We start from the raw sequence: 24,066 nt of genomic DNA on the forward strand, positions 1-24,066 counted from the left end.
GCAGCCCTCACCATGGTTTCCCCCGTCAGGCTGCTGACCAGAGCCAGCCTGACCAGGCGGGCACTGCTCAGAGCTCCTAGTTCCCAGCTCTGTGCAGAGCCACTCATCCCCATGGCTCTCCCCAGATAACGAGCAGTGGAGGCGGAACGGGAGAACACACACCAAGTTTTATTGGGAGAAGGGAGTATTTACAGGAGCAGGTAAAAGAGAGGGAAGTCACACAGGGTGGAGAGGGGGCGGGGAGACTGTGGGTACAAGGCAGACAGGGAACACGGTGACCCCTGCACCCACCCCAACCCCAGGAAGGGCAGGGGAGCAGCGAGGGCCCAGGAAGACCGGGGCCGGGGAAGGACAGCAACAGGGTCTGAGTCCCTGGGCAGGGGGGCTCAGGGGCTTGTAAACATTGACCACTCTCAGAAGGGGATGGGGGTGGGAGAGGGCTCCCCCTATACTTCCTCACAGGGTTAAGGCCTCTCCAGGCTCATGGGCCCCCTAAGTCCAAAGTCTCTTTAGCTGGGGAGAAGAGACAGGAAGAGTGTCCCCCTTCCCCTGCATTGGCTGCGGCAGGGGTGGGGGGGTTACATTCAGTCACAACAGGAGTCTCCCCCACACCTGGCAAGAGGGAAGGGGAGCTGGGGGCCAGCAGCAGCAAACACTCCCCCCGGCCCGTCACCCCTTATTGCTTTAGAGAGAATATTGTCTTTTCAGGGACGCTAACACTGTGGGAACCAGGGAGAGGCAGGTGGGGGCCCCCCACCCCGAGGCCAGCTTGATCCCCCAACACTGACCTAGTTGCCACTTTGGTGCAAAAAAAAAAAAAAAAAAAAAAAAATCCAACAACAGAAAACCAAACACCATCTTTCTGGGACTAGATGGGGAAAGAAACGGGCCACTCCCCATGTCCCCAGGGCAGGAGGGAGAAATACATTCATGGAGGGAGGCAGTGGCGAAGCCTTGCCCTAATACTGCACTCTGAGCAATGAGGTCAATGGGAGGAGCTGGATGAGAAACCCAAAAGACAAAACTGTTACAAAACCCAAAATGGGCGGAGACGAACCCAAGTAGGGGACCGGGAATAAGAAGTGGGTGAGCAATAGAAGGGGCAGCCTCCTCTGACCCAGGAGCCGCACACTTCTCTTCACCCCAACCTTACCCAACGGTAAAAAGCGCATCATATCAGACCCGGAAGGCCACCTGCTCCTCTCCCATTTGGTCAGCGGAAGGGTCAGGTGCAGAGCTGGGTGGTCCACATCTTACGAGCTGGCTACAGGTTGGGGCCCCGGGCGGCAGCCCCTCTACTGCAACCCTAAGCCCAAAGCCACCCACTCCTTGCCTTTGAGGCCCCTCCTCCTGCCCCCTTCACTGGAGAAACAGCTCAGCCTTCTCTCTGCAGCCTCTGGAGCAATCATCCACCCCCGCCGCTCACAGGGGTGAGGCAGCTCAGGCAGGGGTGAGGCGGGGGCTTGTGGCCCAAAGAATACATTCACGTGGCAAGGCAGAGAGCTGGGGCTTTCAGGTTCAAACCCAGGGTGTCCCCCAAAATGGCAGCAGTGGGAGACGCCCCTCACCAGAACCAGAGTCCTGCTGCCCCACCCTGCCAGCCAGAGAGGTTGGCACGGCTTGGCCCCTCCCGTCTACTCGGCCAGCACAAGATGGCAGCCAGAGAGCTGGGGCCACTCGTCCAATTTGTGCAACTGTCCCCCAAAGCAGCGAAGCCAAGGGGCTACTTTGGCCCCACCCCGGACACCTCAGCCAGCCTCAGTGACAGGAGCTGCTCACAACAGGTCTGGCGGGTGGGGCTCAGACAGGCCTCCTGTGCAAACTGCTGGCCCCCAGCTTCCAGTTACCCCATGGCCCGCCTTCTGGGGGGTAAGTATGGCCTTGGGGGCCAGGCAGGACAGGTCCACGGGGCCTGTGTCCCCACTGCCCCAAAATAACAGTGTGTTTTTTCTTTCAGCCTCCTAACCATTTTTTTTTTCATTTTTCATCTTTTTTTCTTAAAAAAAAAAAAAAAACCAAAAAACAAAAACCTCTGTGGACCTTCCATTGTCACACCCACTATCCTCACAGCAGGAAGGGGTGTTTAGAGTCTAGTTTTTAACAATATTTTTGCCTCTCCTAATGTTTTCTTCAGTCGTTTAAAATTAAAAAAAAAAATAAAAAGAAAAACCCCCTCCCCCAGTCTGTAAAGTGCCTCGTGGTGGGTGAGTTAAGGTGCATCGTGTGTTTGTAACAAGTGCTGGGGACCCCGCCCCTGCCTCTTCCTGTGCTCTCTGCGGGGAGCCTGCAGGCTGGGACCCTCGGTCCACGCCGCTGTGGCTGCCCTGGCCTACAGCCCAGGGGCTGGGGGTCCGGGCTGGTCAGTAGTCATCCACGCTCTCGATCTCACCAGAAGATCCGTGCAGGGAGTACCCTGAAGCCGGGGAGAAGCTGCGTCTGAGCTCTCTCCTGGGCTCCTCCTGCCCTGTGCCAAGGAAGTCCCGCTCCTGCCCCAGCCCAGCTCACCCAGGATGCTGGGGTCTGAGTGCAGCATCAGTGCCCGCCTCTTGGCCTTGCTGCCCTCCCCGGGGCCGAGTTTGGTGCTGTGGTTGGCCTGGAAGGCCGTCTGCAGCGAGGCGCTGCTCAGCCATGCCTCCTAAGGCAGCGGAGAGGAGGGTGAAGGTCAGGAGGCACCAGGCAAGCCCACCCCAGCTGCTGGTGCCGGCTGCCTCACCTGCTGCTGCTGCCGCTGCTGGCTGGCTTTCTGCTTGGCCCTCCGCTCCAGGAATTGTTTGGCAAATTCTTTGGCTTCCAGCGTGTCCCCCAGGCAGGAACGGATATAATCGTGGACATCATAGGGGGATTCCACCTCCTTGAGGATCGCTACAGCCATGGGCACTGCAGGATGAGCGAAGGCTGTCAGGGCCCCCTGGCCGGGTCTGGAGACCCAGGTCCCGCCCACCTCCTGGGAGCCGCTCGCCCACCGTCCAGGCTGCCCGTGGCGCTCAGCGTGTGCAGCATCTGCTCGCACCACTGGGTGAAGCCGTCCTGGGGCCTGGGAATGCCCTGCAGCAGCTTCAGCAGCTTCTCTTCTTCCTCCGTCTTTTTGCGAATGGGCCGACCCGATAGGTGGCTGTATGAGTCACTGAAGGGGGAGGGTGAGTCAGGGTTGGAAATCAGCTGGCAGGGGTTGGGGGGGTCTGCCACCTTCCCCCTCAGGGCCATCCCGGAGCCTCCAGGTGCCACGCCCACCTGAGAGATGGGCTGCTCCGGCTGTTCTTCAGGCCGAGGCCACGGACCAGGCTCCCGCCGCTCTTGGGGGTGTCCTCCCAGAGCCCCAGGCCGCTGCTGCCGCCCCCACTCTTGTCTGGCCCGCCCCACAGTGGCCCAGCCTCAGACACCCACTGGTTCAGGGGGGCAGTGCCCAGGCCCCCAAGCTGCTACAGATGGCAGAAGATCAGAGTGGCTCAAACAAAGGCACCCCAGAAAAGCGGATGGGGAGGCTTGTTTAGGTGGCAAAGGGAGACAGGTGAGGTGAGGGCCACAAGAGCTGTTGCCATCACAGGAGAGGCTGGGACTGGGGCTGGGGCTGCACAAGTCTGGGTTCAGTATCCCCCTCCCTGTGCCACCCTGGAAACTGTAGGGGGAGCCCGGGAGGTTCCCGGCCTGCTCACCACTCGGTGGTTGGGGGCCTGGGCCCGAGCTGGCTCCCGAGGTGGGGGCTGTTTGTGCAGCTGCCGCTCGCCCTCCAGCTGCAACTCCAGGAGCGTCTTCATGGACAGCCCCTGCTTGGCCAGGCCAGCCCAGAGTGGGGGCGGGGAGCTGGGTGCGGGGGGCACAGGGACCGCCTGCTGCTGCTGTAGCAACTTCAGCAATAGCTCCTGCTGCCGCACCTAAGAGGGGGACATGGTGAGGGGACCTGGCGAGGGTTGTCCACCCAGCCAGCTGAGGCTTGGGAGCACCCACGTGCTTGCGCCGAAACAGCTCTTCCTCCTCCTGCCGCCGCTTCTGCTCCTCCTGCTGCTGCTGGCGGCGCTTCTCCTCTCGACGCTTGCGTTCCTCTTCCTCCCGCTTCGCCCTGAGCTCCACTTCTCTGCGCTCCTGGAACTGAGACCAGTGGCCCATCAGAGGGGAGAGCTGCAGGGGACAGCCTGGGGCCTGCCTCGGTCCACCCTTCATTCCCAGGGCCTCAGCCCCAGGATGCCCACTCACTTTATGTTGCAGCTGGAGTTGTTCTAGAATTGGACCCTGAGTCGAAGAGTTAATTGGTATGTCCCAAAGACTGGCCTCACCACCTGCAGGGGGCAGGGGGGCAGAGGCGGCTGCAGGTGGGCACTTGGGCCCACTGATCTAGTCCAGCCGCAGCAGTGGGCTCCCCAGCCAGAATGGCAGCTAGGGGCGTGTGGGGGTGGGGAGCAGACCCCAGACCCCATTTCACCCGGAGACTGCCTTGGGGGTGGGGACCAGTCAGGCCACACACCTGACTGTGATGAGGCTGAGGTATGTACGTCCCAGAGGCGGCCCGAATCTGGCACCGACAAGGACCGGCTCATCGTCGGGAGCAGGTTCTGGTCCCCGCCTCTGAGGAGCAAATTGTGGATTCTTAGGACCCCAAATCCATCTCTGGTCTGCCCCCATCCCCCCCCCACCCTGTATCCTGAGGGCTCGCACGCACCACGCACCTGGGGGGTTTGAGCGCCTGGAGCTGCTGCAGGAATGCCGTGAGCTGCTGCTGCTGCTGCTGTGGCGGCGGCGGTGGTGGCGGTGTCAGGTCCCCCAGAGCTGCCTTTTCTCGGAGCGCGCACTGTGGGAGCTGGCGGCTGCAAATGGGACAGTGGAGATGGTGGGCCACAGAGCCAGCGCCGGGCCTTCTCCCAGCCCACCCCAGGCCCCCCATACCTGCTGACCAGCTGGAGAAACTGCTGGTGCTGCAGCTGCTGGTACAAGGCCGCCGCGGCCAGCTCCTGTTGCTTCTTCAGCCGCTCCTGGTCCATGTTTCCCTGCTCAGGTGAGAGCTCGGCCAGTGCCCCCAGCAGGGAGGAGGGGACTCTGCTGGACTCCTGCCGGCACCCCTCACACCCTGTCCCTCCATGCAGGGGAGAAGCGGCTCACCAGCAGTGGGGGAGGTGAGGGCCCTGGGGCAAAGGGCACGCGGCCCCACATCTTGATCACCTCGCCCAGCGGCTGGAAGCCCTCATCGCAGCCCCGCTTCACCAGCAGTGACATGGAAAAGTAGCCGGCCTGGAACCACTCTGCCATCTCCTGTGTCGTGAAGGGGCCTGGACAGGGAGCGAGGGAGCGGGAGAACCACTGGGGTCACAGGGTATGCCAGAGACACCCTGAACCAGAACGGCCTTGAGCAGCCCTCCCATCCCACACAGGTACCTTGGATCTCGCCCTGTGGGTCCTTGTAGAACCACTTCCGGGCAGCCCCATGGCTGAGCGGGAGGGCAGTGGCGGCTGCAGAGTGGCGCAGGCCCTGGGTCTGCATGGCAGCCGTGAACTGCTCCTCCTCCAAGGAGCTGTCCTGCAGGGAGGCCACCAGCTTCTCCGCCTCCTGGATGCCCAGAAAAAGAAGAAAGGCTCAGCTGCCAATCTCAGCAACATCAGGATGGGGATGGGGATGGAGCTTGAGCTGGGGCCGGGGCTGGGGCCAAGCAGGTCAGGTCAGAAGTGGGAAGGGTCCCTCCCGCTTTCTCAGGCCCCCACACCTGCTGCAGGTGCTTCAAGCCTTCATCATCCTCCAGATCTCCGGGTGGGCCAGCAGAGGAGCCCACCCCGGGACTCAGCTGGATCCCCCGAATATCATCTGGAAGGCATGAGATAGGAGGTGGAAAGAAGGGCGGGGAGGAGACAAGATAGCTTTCGCCTACTCTCACTCCAGAACACCACGCTCTTGCCATGGCTCCTCAATGTGAATGCCCTGTGTGCCCACCCCCACGAGTGGGGAGCACTTTCTCCCACAGCCCCAGCGCACCCGGGAGGTAGGCCATCCTCCCTTCCTACCTTCGGCCGCTGGGGGCTCTTTCTCTGCAGTTTCGTCCCCATCCCCGTTTGTCCCCCAGAGTGGGCCCAGGGTGGGCAGTGGGGATGGGGAGCTGGACTTCTCCTCCTGAGGAGGCAGTGGGGTCAGCTCTTTCCCACCTAGAAGAGGGAGATGGCCAGAGTTCAGAACCAAGGGCTGGGCCTGCCACGCGAGTTAGCACAAGCCCTTGAGTGTGGCTGGAACCGCGGGTCACACTCCCTTAGGCCGAGTCCACCACTTCACTTGGGTCAACTCAACTAATGGCAGAGGGAATGCGGTGCCCTGACCCTCGCCTCCACGCTGCCAGACGCGGCAGGAACATATCACAACATCGCACAACACCACACAACACCGCAGACGTCACTCCAGGTTCTACAGCTTCTTCAAGGGACTTTCAAAGGTCATTTTGATTACGCCTGATTTCTATCTGGTACACTGCCTTGAAGACATGGCTCTGCTACCCCCTGGTTCCTCCCCACCTCTCAGCACTCTTCTTCCAGATCTAAGTAGCCTGATTCTACAGGTAGGTGGGCAGCCAATGCCCAGCCCGGCAAAGAACACCAGTGCCTGCCCGGCCCAGCCCCAGGCCCGCTGGGCACCCCGCGGCTCACCTGCCTCAGGCCCTTCCTCCTCTAGCCCTTCGGAAGGTTCCTCCTCCTCCTCCAACCCTTGGAAGTCCAGCTCCTGCTCCTCAGGAATGGGCTCCTTGGGGCCCTTCTGCATGGGGCCGGGGTGGGGAGCAGAGAACAGCTGGGGTGGGTGGGGAGGAAGAGGACCCCGGAAGGGCAGGTTCCCACCCTCGCCTCCTCACAGATACCTTGAGAGGCAAGAAGGCCCCAGAGGCATCAAAGGTGCCCATTTCTTCATCCTCATCGTCCAGGCACCACTCTGGGAGCCCATCCTTGTCCTCCTCAAAGCCTTCAGGCGCTCGGCACCGCCGCAGGTGAGAGCTGCCTCCCCCTCCCCGCCCCTCCTCTTCACCACACCCTCCTCGATCCCCTCGCAAATCAAATTCAAACTTGCGCCGCCGTTCCCCATGTTCCCGCCAGCCAGCAGAGCGGGGACCACCATCTGCACAGGAAAAGTCAGGGAGAAGAAGAGTGGGTACCCAAGCGAAGCCAGCGGCCCCCTCTGCTGCAGCTCACGGAGCACCTCCAGGGCTGCTGTCCCGGCCACTCCCACACCAGCCAGCCTCTGCTCCCTCCCCGTGGCTACAGGAGCCCACCCTCTCATTACAGTTCCTGCTCCCCACTGCCCCCGCCAATGCTACCAGGCCCCAATCTCACCAGGGCTGGCGGAGCGCCAGCGGTCGCCGTCTCGCCGGGGCCCTGCTCCGAGCCTCCAGCTGCCCTCCTCCTCCTCCTCCTGTTCCTCCCGTAGGGAGCGCCAGTTCTCGCTGTCTGAGCGGGCGTGCTCCTTCCTTGGGCCAGCCCCTCCCTCCTCAAAGCCACATCGTGCTGGGAGACGGGAAGACAGGGGCAGTTATTAGAAAGGCAGCGTGGTGCCTGGACCCTCAAGAAACGTTGGGGGGGCCAGCTCCAGGCCCTCCTGCCCCCAACACCTCCGAAATAAGCACCCCCAGACTGGGCCACCCATCTTGGTCCTCCCTGCCGCCCCGGCCGCCGCCCTCAGCAGCCTCGTACCTCCATCCCGCCTTGCTGACTTCTCAAACCGCCTCTCGCCTCTGCAGCAGGGGAAACGTGTGGGTCAGAAACAGTACAGCCTCCCCTGCCACCCTGTGCAACCGCCCCATGCCTTGTCCACTGTGCCCTGAGGCAGTGGAGGGAGGAAGGGGACAAACGAAACCAGGGGTCAGGAGCACCGGGATCTCGGACAGGGCTTATCTGGTGGGCCTCTGTTACCCTCTAGCGACAGGGCCCAGGCCTCCCCTCCCTGGCCTGCCCGGCTCTGCGCCATGCCCCCTCCCCGCCCCACCTGTCATCCCAGCTCTGGCTGCGCTGGATTTCCCGGGGGCTTCGTCCAAAGGCCCCATCGCCTTCTTCGATGCTTCTTTGGTAAAAGCAGCTGTCACCACGGCCGCGGCCTAGAGAAGAGGCCAGACGCACAATGAAACCTGCTGCACGTTCTCGAAGTCAGGGGCCCAGATCTGCCCGTCCCCAGGACACGCCATCACCCCTCTACCTCGGCTCCGCGTGCTGCCCCTGCCTCGGGAGGTGCCAGCCAGGGGGGGGCCAGCCCCTTTCCCCATCAGCCTCAGCACAGCCACGCTGTTCACTGACAGGGAGAAGTTTCTCTGAGGAGGGAGCCAGGGGCGGGAGTGAGGACCCAGGCACCCAACCACCTCCACCCCCACCCCACAGCACCCTCCCCGCCTGTCTCCTCAGCGCTGGCCCCTCTCCTCCTAACCCAACCCATGGCCTCCCCTCCCAGGCTCCCGCAGCCTCAGCTCCTGGCCCGGTCCCACCTGTTCCTCCTCAGTCAGCGGCTCCAGAGCCAGGGGCTGCAGTGGCTCGTCCTGCAGCACCGCGGCGAACTCCTTGTCCTGCAGCTCTTCCGGGACCTGGCAGTGGGTTGGGACAGCCAAGACACCACATGCTGCCAGATCCCCTCCACAGGCAGAGGCCACCACCGCCAACCCCCCTCGCCCACGCACCCACCTTGTTCTCCTTGACGTAGAGAGCCAGCATTTCCTCTCGCCCATAACGGTAGTCAGCCAGCTTGTATTTGGGCATGGCAGGGGACGGGGGTGGGGAGGCCACGCTGCCGCCCCCGGACAGGGCCCTGAGCCTGGACACAACACAGAGAGAAGAAGACAGAGGTCAGGGCAGCCTGACTGTGCTTTCTCGAATCTCCACGGCAGCCGAGGCACAAGTGACTCACCACTCAGGCCCAAAGTTGAGTGTCTCTGCTGCCATCGTGGGGCTGGGCGTGTTTGAGAGGCCGGGGGTGGGGAGGAGGGGACCTGGCGTTCACTGTCCAAACACCTGTGGGGGAACAGGGGCCATGAAGAACAGCACACGAAGGAGAACTTTAAAGCGCAGGGAGGACACCATGGGGGACATCCTAGTGGGCACAACAATGGGCCCCGGACTAGCTGGTGGGTCACCTGGGGTCTAAAAGGACTCACCTGAGCCAGCCACGTGGCCACTCACACCATGAGTTACCCAGAGATGAGTCCAGACGGTGAAAGACCTGGGGGAGGCGAGGAGATGGGAAGCTCGAGTCCTTTCGGCCTCAGCAGGGCAACCACCCTTGGCCCGGGGCTCACCTGGCAGCCTGGCCCGGGAAGAAGGAGGGCAGGGGCTGGTGCTGGAGTGAACGAGGGTACCCAAGCCACTGGGAATTGGTCTGACCTCAGTAGAGCCTGGGAGGGACCTTCACATCTGGGAAAGACCCTTAAGGAGAGCAGGGGGGAGGAGGGAGGGTTCAGGACATGGCTCTGCCGGCAGCCCTGCCCTGCCCCGCATGACAGGAGAGGTCCATTCGCCGGATGGTGTCTCTGGGCATCAGCACCCTCGCCACCCTCTCTGGGAGGCTGAGACAGGAGGTGTAGTGAAGAACTCGGGGAGGGAGGCAGCCGAGGCCAGGATGGACGTTCAGGGCAAAGATAAAACAAAAACAAGCAAGCAAACAAAAACCCACTAGAGCCACAAATAGCTTACAGAGAAAAGGTCAGTTACGGAGAAAAGGATTAGAAATAAATCTAGGAGCAAAATTCTTTCCCTCATGAAAAAAATCAGTTGGCTGCTCAGAAGCTCAAATCCAGGGGCTTGGTCTGGGGAGAAACCCAGTGAAAAGGAGCAGGAGGTGACTCTAGGGCCACAGACGGGTACACGACAAGGACTCCAGGCAGGCAAGCCTGAGCCAAGGCACCTCGGGCTGGTTTCCCCCACAGGAATCACACCCAGACCACCGCCCCCAATCAATAATGGAGGCTTAAACAACCAAGCCACCAAGGGAACGAGGATCTCAGGATACCAGCTGGGAAGCAGCCTCTGGCACCATCAGGTGGAAATAAGGTCAGGGCAATGGAGGCTGATGGGGGCGCGGCGGCAGCCTGTTCCTCTAAGGGAGGATGGAGGGGACTTTCAGGAGGAGGCGCATCCCTGGGGCCCCAGGCAGAGGACTCAAGCGGGTGGGCGGGGTCCAGGTGCTGCGGTGTTGTCACTGGCTGGGAGGGAGGCTGGCCCGGCTTGGTGCTGCAGCTCCCATCAACTCCAGGACGCCACAGTCTGGGAAAGAAGAGGAAGCGGGTTCAACCAGGGTGCTGAGGAGGAAAGGCCATCAGCCCCAGCTGAGCCAGCAGCCCATGACAAGCCGAGGCCTGCTCAGAGTCCAGGCACTCCAGGGGGAAACACCGGGCTCAGAGGCAACCCAAGGCCAGGCTGGCCTCCCCTGGGACCTCTCCTTCCTCTGCCTCGGCTGGATGCTCCAGTGGTGGTGTGTTCCATGACATGAAAAGCCACCAGCCTGTCACTGACTGCAGGTGGCCACCTAGAGCAATCTGGGGACTGGATGAGCCTTGAGGACATCACGCTAAGAGAAACACACCAGCCAAAAAAGGAGAGCTACCCCTTACTTCTCTTTCATGAGGTCTCTAGAGCAGTCACTCATTGAGGGAGGAAGGTAGAAGGGCAGCCACCAGGGGCTGAGGGGACAGGGAGCTGTTGCTGAAGGGTCCAGAGCCTCAACTGAGGAGGGGATCCTGGGGCCGCTGGTGGTCATGGCCGCACACCAATGTGAGTGTACTTAGTAACACAGAATGGCACAATTAGAGACAGTTAAAGTCTCCAAATTTTGTTGTATATTTTACCACAATAATCATTTTTTTAAAAAAGCTTTAGGGAACAAAAGGTATCTGGAGATAACCACCGCATACCTAAGTTTTCCCCACTCCAAGAAAAACACCCCACATTCCTTCAAATCAGCCTCAGGAGAGGCCATTTTGGGCCTCCTCCAGTTCATTCCTTCTAGAAGGCCAGAAGCTCATCCTGGAGGCATGAGGGTGGGAGAGAGTAGAACAGAAAAGGGACCACCTGGCCAGCACAATGGCTTATGCCTATAATCCCAGCACTGTGGGAGGCTTGAAGAGAGGAGTCCGAGACCAGCCTGAGTAACAGAACAAGACCACGACTCTACAGAAACAATTCTAAACATTTTTTAAAAAAGAAAAAGTGGCCAGGCGTGGTGGTTCATGCCTGTAATCCCAGCACTTTGGGAGGCCAAGGCAGCCAGATCACCTGAGGTCAGGAGTTTGAGACCAGCCTGGCCAACGTGGCAAAACCCTGTCTCTACTAAAAATACAAAAATTAGCCAGTCCTGGTGGTAGGTGCCTCTAATCCCAGCTACTCGGGAGGCTGAGGCAGGAGAATCGCTTGAACCCAGGAGGCGGAGGTTGCAGTGAGCTGAGATTGCGCCCCTGCACTCCAGCCTGGGCAACAGAGCAAGACTCTGTCTCAAAAAAAAAAAAAAAAAAAAATTTAAAGCGATGGCCTCACACTGCCCCCTGCCAGGCGCAGCAAGGGCAGCTCTCCTAGGTGCCTCCGGCTCAAGTCACCCATCCTGGCTGTGTCTTGGCTGCAAGGGGCACACAAAGGGGGAATGGTTCATGCAGACTGAGGACAGCGACACCAAGACAGGGGAGAGAGCAGGCCCAGAGCAGGAAAAAGCCCATGCCACCCGCCTTCTTGGGAAGAAACCAGGAGAGTGAGGTTAACTCTCTAGGCACCCCCACAGCAGGGTCTGGTGCCGGAAGCTGATGGTGCCTGGCCCCTTCCTTGGACTAAAGGAACTAGTGGCACACCTGCAGGCCACCATGGGGCTCCCACCCTCCAACAGGTTCTGGACTGGGGGCACCTCTGCTCCTCAGGGGGCTCTTGGCCAAGTCTAGAGACATTCTGGGTTGTCACCACTGGGCAGGGGGTGCACAGGGCAGCCCCACAGCCAAGAGCTATGTGACTCCAGATACCAAGTGCGCCAGTGCTGAGACACCCTCCTCTGCGCCACGAGCATGGGCACAGCCCTTGGGGGTCTACTGGGCCAAGGGGAAGGCAAGGGAAGGCAGGTGTGTGCACGCTGGGTCATTCTCCTCTCTGAACAGCAGGGACATCATTCCCTAATTACACTGTCCCACGAGGGAAATCTGAAATCCTGCCAGGAGAAAATCTTTGAGAAAAGAATAGATTTTTTTTTTTTAAGAAAAACTGCCTAAGTTTGTCTATTGCAAGCTCTCAGGGCCAGGTATCTGATCCCTGTCCAATGAAGGTAAGAGCAGGAGGTGGCGGGGGCTGGGGTACTGCCACCTGCCCGTCTCAGCTTACCCGGCTGAGCTTTCTCAGCTCAGGGTCTCCTTCTCACAGGCCCCTTCCAGCCTGTCCCCCGCCCTGGCCCTGCCCTCAAGCCTCGGCCTACTTCGGCTCCTCGCCCCTTCCCCACCCCTTCTCTTTCTCGGGCCTGTCTACCCTCACTCCCCCAGCATCTGAATCAATGCTTTTGAAAGACTGCCCCCTGCCGGAGACAAGGGGCGAGGACACGCTGGGCCCGGGTGCTCCAGTAGGCGCCAGGGCGCGCGGGAAAGGGAGCCTGCTCTCTGGGGCTCAGAACTCAAGAGAGAAAGAAAAGACAGAGAACAGGCGGTCCCAGTGCACATTCAGCTAAGAACATTATCTCCTCACTCCATCACCCCTAAAATTAGCTCCAACACAGAGCACTGTGCCTTGGCACAGAACAGAGCCACTTAAACAGAAGCACAGTCCCCAATTCCTCAACACTGGAACAACCGCCCAGCCCCAGGCCTGCTGGAGGGGACCTGGCCCTTTCTCAGGATGGAGATTCTCCAAGCGTGGTAGGGTGAGGACGCTGAGGCTTAAAAAAGAGATGCAAACCCGCATTCTTCGCGGCTGGTCGGTTATCCCAGCTCTCTCCTCTCTGAGCCATCCCAGCAAATCACACCACCGCTTGGCAATTGTCTACAAGTTAACAGTTTTCAAAGGATTTTCACTCTTTACCTCCTGTGATCCCTTTTGCCCACTTGCCCAGCCTTGGGCTCCAGCCAGGGAAAAGAAGGAGGAAGCTGCTCCGACAGCGTGCCCCGACATCCTTGACACTATGCAAGACTGGAGGTGCGCACGGTAGCAGTAACCATCCCAAACTCGCAAGCATTATTCTGTGAGTTTGAAGCCATTTTACATTTGTTAGACTTTCAACATCCTTCATCTAGCCTCCTCCTCTCATCTTCTCTCCTCTAAAGTGGGCTATTTTTCTTTAATTCCCAAATTCCAATAGCAGATGTAAAAGTTAGGGCTAACGCATCAGATCACGAACACAAGACTGATGTGTCCAACAGCAGAAAAAGCTAGTCCAGAAGTTTAAGCACATGGTCCACTTGACTAACCACCACGTGGGACCCTCAGGGCCCCTGGTCCCCAGGCAATGGCAGGGACACCAAGGCCAGGTCTACCCTCAAATCCTTCCCAATGGCACGACAGACCGCTGGGGGACCAAGACCTACAATCTAAGAAAATCAGATTGGAGCTGGCTAGCCTGGTGGAGGGTGGCTAGCCTAGGTCTGCAAAGGGCACAGGAAAGATGGGAAGGAGAAAGAACCCCAAATCCCCCATGTCGGCAGCAAAGGAGAGACCCTTACTGGTACCACCGATGGTGTTTCCATGCCAAAGGCGAGGGGTTGGCGGGGTTCTAAATTGAAACTTCTATATAGACTCGAAGAGGCAGTGCACAAGAGGGTGGGAAAGCTGACGATCTTCCAGAACGACACTTTGAGAGGCAGGAGGGAAGTAAGGCTTGGGTGGCTGGAAAAAAAAAATCCAATCCAGCTAACAAGTCTTTATGTAGCATCTCCTAGTTCCTAGCACTAGGATGCAACAGACCTGGAGTCTGACCGGGAATGCGAGTAATGACTGTATAACAGAGAAGAGAGACGAGGGGCTTTTAAAAAGTTACTCGGAAATTTTTTTGTTTTTTTTTTTTTTTAAGGCAAAGTGTGAGAGCTGTGGCCAGGGAGCTGCTGCACGGAGGGGCATGAGCTGAGAAGGGCCTGGCCTGGGACGGGGAGGACAAGCAGTCTCTGCTAAGGAAGGTATTTCCCGCGGCCGAGCAACTGGGAAGAAGGAGACCCCAATGACCCAGCACTAAGATCGCCGGAGCGAAAGGAAACAGAGGTGAGGAGGACCCAGGCGAGGTGCCTGGGTGGAGGGCAAGGCTTCCATGTTGGCCAAAGTCGTGGAACGCTTGGACCTGGGGAACCGCAAGGCCCAGCTCGTTCCGAGGGGAACCCAAAGGCGCGCTGGGGAGAACTCCGGGAAGCGCGGGGCCCGGCCACCCTAGGACGCTAGGGTCGGGGGCCCCCAGGCGGCCCAGGGCAGGGCTTGGCAGGGGCCCGGGGGCGACCGTTAGGAGCGCGGGGGTGGAAGGCAGCGCGCCGGCCCGGGAGGACGGCGTGCCCTTCAGGGAGGGGCGCCAGGTGCGAGGGGGGCGAGCGGTCGCCCCCTAAGCCGGGCGCCGGCCTCCCGGGGCCTCCCCGAGGCTGGCCGGCTCTGGGGGAGGGTCCCGGCGGCGGGGATGGGCCGGAGCGGGCGGGAGAGCGGGAGGACGCACCGGGCTGCGGCGGCCTCGGGGAGGAGACGGGGGAGGGTCCTCGCTGGCGGCCCGCGCGCTGGCTCCGGCGCTTCTCTAGCTCGCGGGCTCGGCGCGGCCGCCGCGGCGTCGGGGGCGGGCCTGCCCCGGGGCTGGGCTGCGGGCCGGGGGCCGCGGGGCCACTGGGCGCTTACCGCGGGCGGCGCGAGGGTCCGGTCCCGGGGCGTGGGCGGCGCGCGGCGGGCGGGGGCCGGGGACGGCGACGGCGGCTAGCAGCGGGGGAGGGGGCGCTGGCGCTCCCGCGGCGGCCGCTCCTCTGTGTTTGTGTTTGTAGCAAGATGGCTGCCCGCCTCGCACCACGTGACGCGGACGCGGGGCCGCGGGGCCGCCCCTTCCACCGCCGCCGCCGCCGCCGCCGCCGCCGCCGCCGCCGCCGCCGCCGCCGCCGCCGCCGCCGCCGCCGCCGCCTCCCTCCGCGGCTCCGGCCCGCGCCACCTCTCCTCGTGCGCTGCTCGCGTGCCGCGCGCGCCACTGCCCGGACGCCCGTCGCCCCCGACAGCCCCCCCCCTCCCCGCCCCGACACGTGACCTGGGCGCCCGGCTGGTCACGTGACGGGGGCCCCCAGCTGCGGGCGGGATCGGCCCCAGAGCGGCCTCCTCTCCCCCACCTCCCCCGGCCCCGCGACGCGCGACCTCTGGGACCGAGGCCGCGGCCTCCCTGGCGGTCCGGTTTCCTCCAGGAAGCCCGCCTGGATGACAGGAGACAATAAAATCCAGAACCCTTCATCAGGCGTCCTGGGATGTGTGAAATAAGTGGCTCAGGCAAATAAGTTGACTCTCAGGAGCCTCTTTATTTTTTTAATTATTTATTTAATTATTGAGACAGAGTGTTGCTCTGTCCCCCAGGTTGCAGTCCAGTGGCGCGATCTCGGCTCACTGCAGCCTCCGCCTCCCGGATTCAAGTGATTCTCATGCCTTGGCCTCCCGAGTAGCTGAGATTACAAGCACACACCACCACGTTTGGCTTATTTTTGTTGGCCAGGCTGGTCTAGAACTCCTGACCACTCAAGTGATCCGCCTGTCTCGCCCTCCCAAAGTGCTGGGATTACAGGCGTGAGCCACCGCGCCCGGCCCCTATTTATTTATTTTTTTGAAGCAGGGTCTCACTCTGTTGCCCCAGCTGCAGTGTACTAGCCCGATCTCGGCTTACGGCAGCCTCCAACTCCCGTGTCTCAAGCGATCCTCCCATCTCAGCCTCCTGAATTGTTGGGACTATAGGTGTGCACCATCACACCCAGATAACTTTTTTATTCTCTGTAAAGACTGGGCGGGTGGCGTGTCTCATAACATTGCCCAGGCTGGTCTTGAACTCCTGGTCTCAAGGGATCCTCCTGCCACAGCCTCTTGAGTAGCTGGGACTACAGCTGTGTGCCACCACACCCAACTAATTTTTTTAATTTATTGTATTTGTTGTTTGTTTGTTTTCCAAGACAGAGTCTTGCTCTGTCGCCCAGGCTGGAGTGCAGTGGCGCGATCACGGTTAACTGCATCCTGCGCCTCCTGGGCTCAAGCAATCCTCCTGCCTCAAGCACCCTGAGTAGCTAGGACTACCAGGGCACACCACCACGCCCAGCTTTTTTTTTTTTTTTTTTTTTTTTTTTGTAGAGACAGGGTTTCCCCCATGTTGCCCAGGCTGGTCTTGAACTCCTGGACCCAAATGATCCTCCTTCCAAAGTGCCGGGAACTCCTGGACCCAAATGGATCCTCCTTCCAAGGTGCCGGGATGACAGGCATGAGCCGCCACGCCTGGCCTCTCAAAAGCCTCCGTTTCTCTTACAGAAGGATGTTAACACTGCTCTGCACCCAACCCCCGACCCCCAACTCCACACTCTTCCTTGAGTGCTGTAAGAATTAAAATAAGTGAATGTGAAAGGCTTTGACAAGAGAGAAACTGCTATGCAAATGTGAGGTGACTGAAACCCCCTTTGTTTAAAAAAAGGACTTTTCAAGAATGACTCGCTGAACTTTTTCAAGGCTCAAAAGTTCCGCGTATGCTTTCACCTTTTTCTTTGGAAGTTACTCCAGAATGTATACCTTACTTCCCAGAAGCCTAAAAGAGCTGTCGCCCAACACAATGTAATCCTCAAAACAAGGAAAAGGTAAGTTCATGACTTGGAATTTGAGTGCCTGGTGTCTTGCCATGATAGAGTGTTGACTTCAGGAACTATTATACCTGGAACAACTTTTGTTTCCCCCACCAAGTACCACTAGGCTTCTCTGCACTTGGAGTTTTCCTGTCTGTTTTCCTTTTTTAACTATTTTATTTATTTAAGAGACAGGGTCTTGCTCTGCTGCCCAGCCTGGAGTGCAGTGGCACAATCAGCTCACTGCAGCATCGACCTCCTAGGCTTAAGTGATCCTCCCTCCTCAGCCTCCCGAGTAGCTGGGATTGCAGGGAGTGGCACACCACCATACCCGGGTATTATTTATTATTTATTTTTTTTTTGAGAAAGAGTCTCACCCTGTTGCCCAGGCTGGAGTGCAGTGGCGTGATCTCAGCTCACTGCAACCTCCGACCCCAGGTTCAAGCAGTTCTCGTGCCTCAGCCTCCCAAGTAGCTGGGATTACAGGTGTGTGCTACCATGCCTGGCTAATTTTTGTATTTTTAGTAGAGACAGGGTTTCACCATGTTGGCCAGGCTGGTCTCGAACTCCTGAACTCAGGTGATCTACCTGCCTCAGCCTCCAAAAGTGCTGGGATTACAGGCACGAGCTACTGTGCCTGGCCCAGCTATTATTTTTTACTTTTAAATTTTTGTACAGACTGAAGTATCACTATGTTGCCTGGGCTGTTCTCGAACTCCTGGGCTCAAGCAGTCCTTCCATATTGGCCTCCCAAAGTGTTGGGATTACAGGCATGAGCCACTGTGCCTGTCCTGCTGTCTGTTTTTATATTTTATTTAATATTTTAATTTTTTTCGAGACGGAGTTTCGCTCTGTCGCCCAGGCTGGAGTACAGTGGCGTGATCTCAGCTCACTGCAACCTCCACCTCCTGGGTTCAAGTGATCCTCCCACCTTAGTCTCCTGAGTAGCTGAGACTACAGACAGGCGCCACCATGCCCAGCTAATTTTTGTATTTTTGGTAGAGATGGAGTTTCACCGTTTTGGCCAGGCTGGTCTCAAATTCCTGGCCTCAAGTGATCCTCCCGCCTTGGCCTCCCAAAGTGTTGGGATTACAGGCGTGAGCCACCGTGCCCTGCCAGCTAGCTTCCTTTCTCAAAGAGGGAGTTTATAGGCTTTAATTTCTGCTGACTTCAGCATCAGTGTTCACACTTTACAGTTGGTGGGGATTACTTGTCCAAAGTCACACATTGGTGTCCAGGAGATCCAGGGAGACCCCTCTGGTCTTCCACCGTGATTGTATTAGTCAGTTCTCATGCTGCTAATAAACCTTGTCCTTCCTTGAGCCCAGAAGCCTGGGCAACAAAATGAGTTCTTGACTCAAAAAGAGAGAAAAGTGAAAAAATATAATAAAAAACAAAAAAGAACTGTGAGTCTCCCATGAAGAATTTAAAAATTACAAAGAAATCACTTGGACCTAATTGGCCGGGCATGGTGGCTCACACCTGTAATCCCAGCACTTTGGGAGGCTGAGGCAGGTGGATCACCTGAGGTTGGGAGTTCAAGACCAGCCTGACCAACATGGAGAAACCCCGTCTCTACTAAAAATACAAAATTAGCCAGGCGTGGTGGCACGTACCTGTAATCTCAGCTACTAGGGAGGCTGAGGCAGGAGAATCGCTTGAACCTAGGAGGCGGAGGTTGCGGTGAGCAGAGATCACGCCATTGGACTCCAGCCTGGGCAACAAGAGCGAAACTCCATCTCAAAATAAAGAAATCATTTGGAGCTAATGTGTTTTTGTTTGTTCAGGTGCTGCTCTGTAAAATGTCTTGGTCTGTGTTCTAAATTTGCAAACTTTTTAACTAAACAAAGAGATTTGTTTGGAAGGTTAATGGAGATGAAAGAGTGGTCTCACGCAGACCAAACAGCCAGCCTCTGCCTTTCTTTTCTTTTTCTTTTCTTTTTTTTTTTTTTTTTTTTGAGACAGAGTCTTGCTGTGTTGCTCAGGCTGGAGTGCAGTGGTGCAACCTCCGCTCCTCCGGGTTCAAGCGTCTTGTATTTTTAGTAGAGATGGGTTTTGCCATGTTGGTCAGGCTGATCTCAAACTCCTGACCTCAGGTGATCTGCCTGCCTCAGCCTTCCAAAGTGCTGAGATTACAGGCGTGAACCACCGTTCCTGGCCCTTTTTCTTTCTTTCTTTTCTTTGAAACGGAGTCTCCCTCTGATGCCCAGGCTGTAGTGCAGTGGCACGATCTTGGCTCACTGCAAGCTCCGCCTCCCGGGTTCATGCCATTCTTCTGCCTCAGCCTCCCGAGTAGCTGGGACTACAGGCACCCACCACCACGCCTGGCCAATTTTTTGTATTTCTAGTAGAGACGGGGTTTCACCGTGTTAGCCAGGATGGTCTCGATCCCCTGACCTCGTGATCCACCTGCCTTGGCCTCTTAAAGTGCTGGAATTACAGGCATGAGCCACCACGCCCGCCCCGCCCCCACTTTTTTTTTTTTAATGGCAGATTCCTCTTCAGTGTTTTCCTTTGATGAAATGTAAGGAGAGGGCTGGATGCGGTGGCTCACGCCTGTAATCCCAGCACTTTGGGAGACCGAGGCAGGTGGATCATGAGCTCAGGAGTTCAAGACCAGCCTGGCCAACATGGTGAAACCCCCGTCTCTACTAAAAATACAAAAATTAGCCTGCGTGGTGGCAGGCGCCTGTAATCCCAGCTACTCGGGAGGCTGAGGCAGGAGAATCACTTGAACCTTGGAGGTGGAGGTTGCAGTGAGCTGAGATTGGGCCACTGCACTCCAGCCTGAGAGACAGGGCGAGACCCCGTCTCAAAAAAAAAAGAAATGCATGCAAGGAGATAAGGACTGTCTTGTTGTCAGATCAGTTTATTGTCAAATCGGTTTATTACAGAGCTTGTCTTCATCCACCTAAATTGCGAGCCTTGATATTTATGTGGATATCAGAGTTTGCAAAACATATTTTAGGTACCATGGAAAGACACATGACCTGAGTAATGGAGTGATAGCTCATAAACTGTGCTTATTGTTAATTATCAGACATAATGGGCGTTAAAATTAATTTACTGCATTCAGAATTACTTTTGGCCCTGCGCTAAGTTCTTTGCTCAACCAAACGTAACTGCGTTGTAAGTCACCAATGACTTCCACATTGTGAAATCTACTGGTCCATTATCTTACATGACCTGTTACCAGCCAGTGACATAGACGGTCACTCCCTCCAGAAATACCATCTTCACCTGGCTTTCTGGATGCTATATTCTGTTGGTTTTCCTCCCACCTCACTAGCTGCTATTTCTCAGATTTTACTGGTTCCTCCTCTTCTCCCCATCCTCCCAGGGCTCAGACCTCCGTATTGGAACAGGATATGGGTCGGGCACAGTGGCTCACATCTGTAATCCCAGCACTTTGGGAAAGGCTGAGGCGGGAGGATCGCTTGAGCCCAGGAGTTCAAGAGCAGCCTGCACAACATGACAAAACCCCATCTCTACAAAAAATACAAAAATTATCCGGGCGTGGCAGTGCACACATGTAGTCCCAGCTACTCAGGAGGCTGAGGTGGGAGGATTGCTTAAGCCAGGGAGGCGGAGGTTGCAGTAAGTGGAGATCAAGCCACTGCACTCCAGCCTGGGTGGCAGAGCCAGACCCTGTCTCAAAAAAAAGGGAACAGGATATAGGACCTACTGCTAAACATTCCTGTCTCTGCCTAATCATTACTTCCTCTTGGAAAACCTTGGATCCCTCAAGATGATATTGGCTGTCTCTCCTTGGGGATCCACCCAATCCTATTCATGTCCCCTCAGCACAGGTCATGCGATCATGCTCACCTTGTCTTGCACACTACAATATGAGCAGTTCAGCACAGTATTATGTAATATAACTGGTATGTTCGCAGCCTAACAGGTCACCTTGATCCATCCCTTATAGCTGTGTAATATTCCATGGGATGGATGTGCCATAGATTGTTTACCATGCACTGATCAAAAGTTATCCGGAGGTCGGTGGCTCATACCTGCAATCCCAGCGCTTTGGGAGGGTGAGGCAGGAGGATTGCTTAAGTACAGGAGGTCAAGACCAGCCTGGGCAACATAGGGAGACCCCCATCTCTACATAATAAATTAATATGAAAAGAAAGCCATCTGGGTTGCTTCCCGTTGGGCTATTACAAATAAAAATGCTATGGACGGGCTGGGCACGGTGGCTCACGCCTGTAATTCTAGCACTTTGGGAGGCTGAGGCAGGTGGATCACAGGTCAGAAGTTCAAGACCAGCCTGGCCAAGATAGTGAAACCCCGTCTCTACTAAAAATACAAAAAAATGTAGCTGAGCGTGGTGGCATGCATGTGTAATCCCAGCTACTCGGGAGGCTGAGGCAGGAGAATTGCTTAAATCTGGGAGGCAGCAGTTGCAGTGAGCTGAGATTGCACCAGTGCACTCCAGCCTGAGTGACAGATTAAGACTCCATCTCAAAAAAAAAAAAAGAAAAAAAAAATGCTATGGATGTTCATGTACAGATTTTTAAATGCCAAGAAATGTTCTTGCTGGGTCATTTGGTAAGTGTACGTTTAATTTTAGAAGGAACTGCCAAACTGTTTTCTAGGATGGCTGTACGATTTTCCACTTCCACAAGCAGTGTATGTATGAGAGATCCAGTTTCCCTGCATTCTCATCCACACTTGGTATTGTTCGTATTTTGTATTTCAGCCATTTCAATACGTGTTATTGGTAGCTCGTCATGGTTTTCATGTGTATTTCCTTAATGGCTAGTGATATTGAACATCTTATGATGTGCTTATTTACCATTCTTATACTCTCTTTCACTGAAATGTCCGTTTAAGATTTGCCCATTTTCTTTTTCTTTTCTTTTTTTTTTTTTTTTGAGACAGTCTTGCTCTGTCGCCCAGGCTGGAGTACAATAGTGTGATCCTGGCTCACTGCAACCTCTGCCTTCCAAGTTTAAGCGATTTTCAAGTCTCAGCTTCCCGAGTAGATGGGATTAACAGGCGCCCGCCACCACGCCCAGCTAATTTTTGTATTTTTAGTGGAGACGGGGTTTCACCGTGTTGGCCAGGCTGGTCTCAAACTCCCAACTTCAGGTGATCCACCCACCTCAGCTTCCCAAAGTGCTGGGATTACAGGCAAGAGCCACCGCTTGCTTGCTTGCTTGCTTCCTTCCTTCCCTCCCTCCTTCCTTCCTTTTTTCTGTTTTTTCTTTCTCTCTTTCTCTCCTCTCTTCCTTCCTTCCTTCCCTTTTTCTTCCTTTCCTTCCTCTCTCTTTCTTTCTCAGACCCTCACTTTGTCACCCAGGCTGGAGTGCAGTGGTATGATCACAGTTCATTGCAGTGCTGTCCTCCTGGGCTCAAGCAATCCTCCTACCCCAGCCTCCTGAGTAGCTAGGACTGTAGGCACAGACCACCAGGCCTGGCTAATTTTTAAATTTTTTGTAGAGACAGGATCTCACCATGTTGCCCAGGCTGGATTTGCCCATTTTCTAATTGGGTTGTTCGGTTTCTACCTCTCGAGCTTAGAGAGTGCTTTATATATGCTGGAAACAAGTCCTTTGTTGGATATATGATTTGCAAATATTTTCTTCCAGTCTGTGGCTACTCTTTTCATCTTATTAATGTGATCTTTCACACAGCAAATGTTTAAACATTTTGATGAAGTCCAATTTATCATTTTTTTTTTTTGAGACGGAGTTTTACTCTTGGTGCCCAAGCTGGAGTGCAATGGCGCAATCTCAGCTCACTGCAACCTCCGCCTCCCGGATTCAAGCGATTCTCCTGCCTCAGCCTCCTGAGTAGCTGGGATAACAGGCGCATGCCACCACGCCCGGCTAATTTTTTGTATTTTTAGTAGAGACGGGGTTTCACCATGTTGGCCAGGCTGGTCTTGAACTCCTAACCTCAGGTGATCCACCCACCTCAGCTTCCCAAAGTGCTGGGATTACAGGCATAAGCCACCGTGCCCAGCCCAATTGTTTTTCTTTTATGGATTGTGCTTTTGGAGTCATGTCTAAGAACTCTTCGCCTTTAGCTGGGCATGGTGGCATGTGCCTGTAATCCCAGCTACTCAGGAGGCTAAGGCAGGAGAATCTCTTAAACCCGGGAGGCAGAGGTTGAAGTGAGCCGAGATCGCGCCACTGCACTCCAGCTTGGGCGACAGAGTGAGACTCCATCTCAAAAAAACAAACAAACAAAAAAACAAAACTCTTCACCTGACCCTACACCATGAAGTTTTTTCCTAAATCTACTATCCATTTTGTATTAACTTTTTGCATAGGGCTGAGGCTCATTTCTTTGCCTATTTGTCCAATTGTTTCACCACCACTTGAAAGGATCATCCTTTCCCCATTGAAACGCTTTTATACCTTTGTCAAAAACAAGTTGTTTGGCAGTGGCTCACGCCTGTAATCTCAGCACTTTGAGGGAGCTGAGGCAGGAGGATTGCTTGAGTCTAGGAGTTCGAGATCAGCCTGGTCAACGTAGTAAGACCTCGTCTCTACAAAAAATAAAACAAAATTAGCCGGGTATGGTGGCGCGTGCTGATAGTCCCAACTACTTGGGAGGCTGAGGCGGGAAGATGACTTGAGCCCATGAGGTTGAGGCTGCAGTGAGCCAAGATTGTGCCACTGCACTCCAAGCCTGGGTGACAAAGTGAGACACTGTCTTATAAACAAACAAAAAATTATTTTTTAAAGAGAGATAGTTGGCTGCACTTGTGTGAATCTATTTCTGAGCTCTCAATTCCATCTTATTGATTTTTGTGTCTATCCCACTGGGGAAACCATACTTTCTTGATAACTTTATTTATATAGTAAGTCTTAAAATCAGGTAGTGTGATTCCAACAACTTTTTCAAAGTGGTTTTAACTATTCTACTTCTTTTGCCTTTCCATATAAAGTTTAGAATAAACATCTATATTTAATACAAAAAAACTGCTGGGATTTTTGTAGGAATTGCATTACGCCTATAGATCAATTTGGGTTTTTGTTGTTGTTGTTTGAGACGGAGTTCGCTCTGTTGCCTAGGCTGGAATGCAGTGGTGTGATCTTAGCTCACTGCAACCTCTGCCTCCTGGGTTCCACCTATTCTCCTGCCTCAGTCTCCTGAGTAGCTGGGATTAGTACCAGGCACGTGCCACCACACCCGGCTAATTTTGTATTTTTAGCAGAGACGGGGTTTCACCATGTTGGCCAGGCTGGTCTTGAAATCCTGACCTCAAGTGATCTGCCCACCTTGGCCTCCAAAGTGCTGGGATTAAAGGCGTGAGCCACCATGCTTGGCCCCTATAGATTAATTTGAAGAGAATTGGTATCTTTACTATAATATGTTGGATCTTCCAATTCAATCCCAATCTTGTGGT

The 24,066-nt window shown here is 56.0% G+C and overlaps 1 protein-coding gene across 11 annotated transcripts, besides 6 other annotated features; it reads right to left on the reverse strand.

Annotated features, from left to right (window-relative positions):
- On the reverse strand, positions 149-14,892 carry GIGYF1 (GRB10 interacting GYF protein 1). Of its 11 annotated transcripts, NM_001375766.1 has the most exons (28): positions 14,752-14,892; positions 9,944-10,197; positions 9,234-9,360; positions 9,093-9,157; positions 8,846-8,949; positions 8,623-8,752; positions 8,430-8,525; positions 8,147-8,258; positions 7,940-8,048; positions 7,648-7,688; positions 7,291-7,461; positions 6,822-7,075; positions 6,616-6,721; positions 5,986-6,123; positions 5,691-5,788; positions 5,365-5,536; positions 5,092-5,258; positions 4,879-4,979; positions 4,662-4,799; positions 4,460-4,560; positions 4,192-4,274; positions 3,946-4,086; positions 3,654-3,872; positions 3,232-3,419; positions 2,964-3,124; positions 2,714-2,877; positions 2,506-2,635; positions 149-2,413 (listed from the first exon to the last, which is right to left on the reverse strand). In NM_001375766.1, exons 5-28 carry the CDS (start codon positions 8,878-8,880, stop codon positions 2,361-2,363), a joined length of 3,108 nt encoding a protein of 1,035 aa, NP_001362695.1. In that variant the 5' UTR covers positions 8,881-8,949; positions 9,093-9,157; positions 9,234-9,360; positions 9,944-10,197; positions 14,752-14,892; the 3' UTR covers positions 149-2,360. The 11 variants fall into 11 exon arrangements, 10 of the variants coding, with proteins under 10 accessions (NP_001362695.1, NP_001362692.1, NP_001362697.1 ...); NR_164719.1 differs by having other exon boundaries at positions 149-2,635; positions 4,879-4,982; positions 5,096-5,258; NM_001375763.1 differs by having other exon boundaries at positions 149-2,635.
- Positions 12,389-12,558: a silencer, noted in NCBI's record as "silent region_18459". NCBI's record gives its function as "represses an Ori minimal core promoter by ATAC-STARR-seq in GM12878 lymphoblastoid cells {active_cell/tissue: GM12878}" and the evidence as "EXISTENCE:reporter gene assay evidence [ECO:0000049][PMID:35858748]".
- Positions 13,966-15,459: a transcriptional cis regulatory region, noted in NCBI's record as "candidate enhancer chr7.3567 targeted for multiplex CRISPR interference". NCBI's record gives its function as "positively regulates GIGYF1 gene expression with high confidence in K562 cells {active_cell/tissue: K562}" and the evidence as "EXISTENCE:mutant phenotype evidence [ECO:0000015][PMID:30612741]".
- Positions 14,321-14,440: a silencer, noted in NCBI's record as "silent region_18460". NCBI's record gives its function as "represses an Ori minimal core promoter by ATAC-STARR-seq in GM12878 lymphoblastoid cells {active_cell/tissue: GM12878}" and the evidence as "EXISTENCE:reporter gene assay evidence [ECO:0000049][PMID:35858748]".
- Positions 14,611-14,710: a silencer, noted in NCBI's record as "silent region_18461". NCBI's record gives its function as "represses an Ori minimal core promoter by ATAC-STARR-seq in GM12878 lymphoblastoid cells {active_cell/tissue: GM12878}" and the evidence as "EXISTENCE:reporter gene assay evidence [ECO:0000049][PMID:35858748]".
- Positions 15,151-15,310: a silencer, noted in NCBI's record as "silent region_18462". NCBI's record gives its function as "represses an Ori minimal core promoter by ATAC-STARR-seq in GM12878 lymphoblastoid cells {active_cell/tissue: GM12878}" and the evidence as "EXISTENCE:reporter gene assay evidence [ECO:0000049][PMID:35858748]".
- Positions 15,998-16,801: an enhancer, noted in NCBI's record as "OCT4-NANOG-H3K27ac-H3K4me1 hESC enhancer chr7:100292979-100293782 (GRCh37/hg19 assembly coordinates)". NCBI's record gives its function as "activates a minimal SCP1, AML or CMV promoter by ChIP-STARR-seq in primed H9 embryonic stem cells {active_cell/tissue: H9 hESC(primed)}" and the evidence as "EXISTENCE:reporter gene assay evidence [ECO:0000049][PMID:30033119]".

The sequence above is a fragment of the Homo sapiens genome, chromosome 7 (genome assembly GCF_000001405.40).
Source record: "Homo sapiens chromosome 7, GRCh38.p14 Primary Assembly".
In the NCBI taxonomy this organism is placed as follows: domain Eukaryota; kingdom Metazoa; phylum Chordata; class Mammalia; order Primates; family Hominidae; genus Homo; species Homo sapiens.

Coding starts and splice junctions, on each gene's coding strand:
- GIGYF1 (NM_001375760.1), bottom strand. CDS start 8,880: ATGGCAGCAGAGACACTCAACTTTGGGCCTGAGTG. Junction 7,076..7,290: donor CTGGCGCTCCGCCAGCCCTG/GTGAGATTGGGG, acceptor TTTCCTGTGCAG/ATGGTGGTCCCCGCTCTGCT. Junction 5,537..5,690: donor GCTTGAAGCACCTGCAGCAG/GTGTGGGGGCCT, acceptor CTGGGCATCCAG/GAGGCGGAGAAGCTGGTGGC.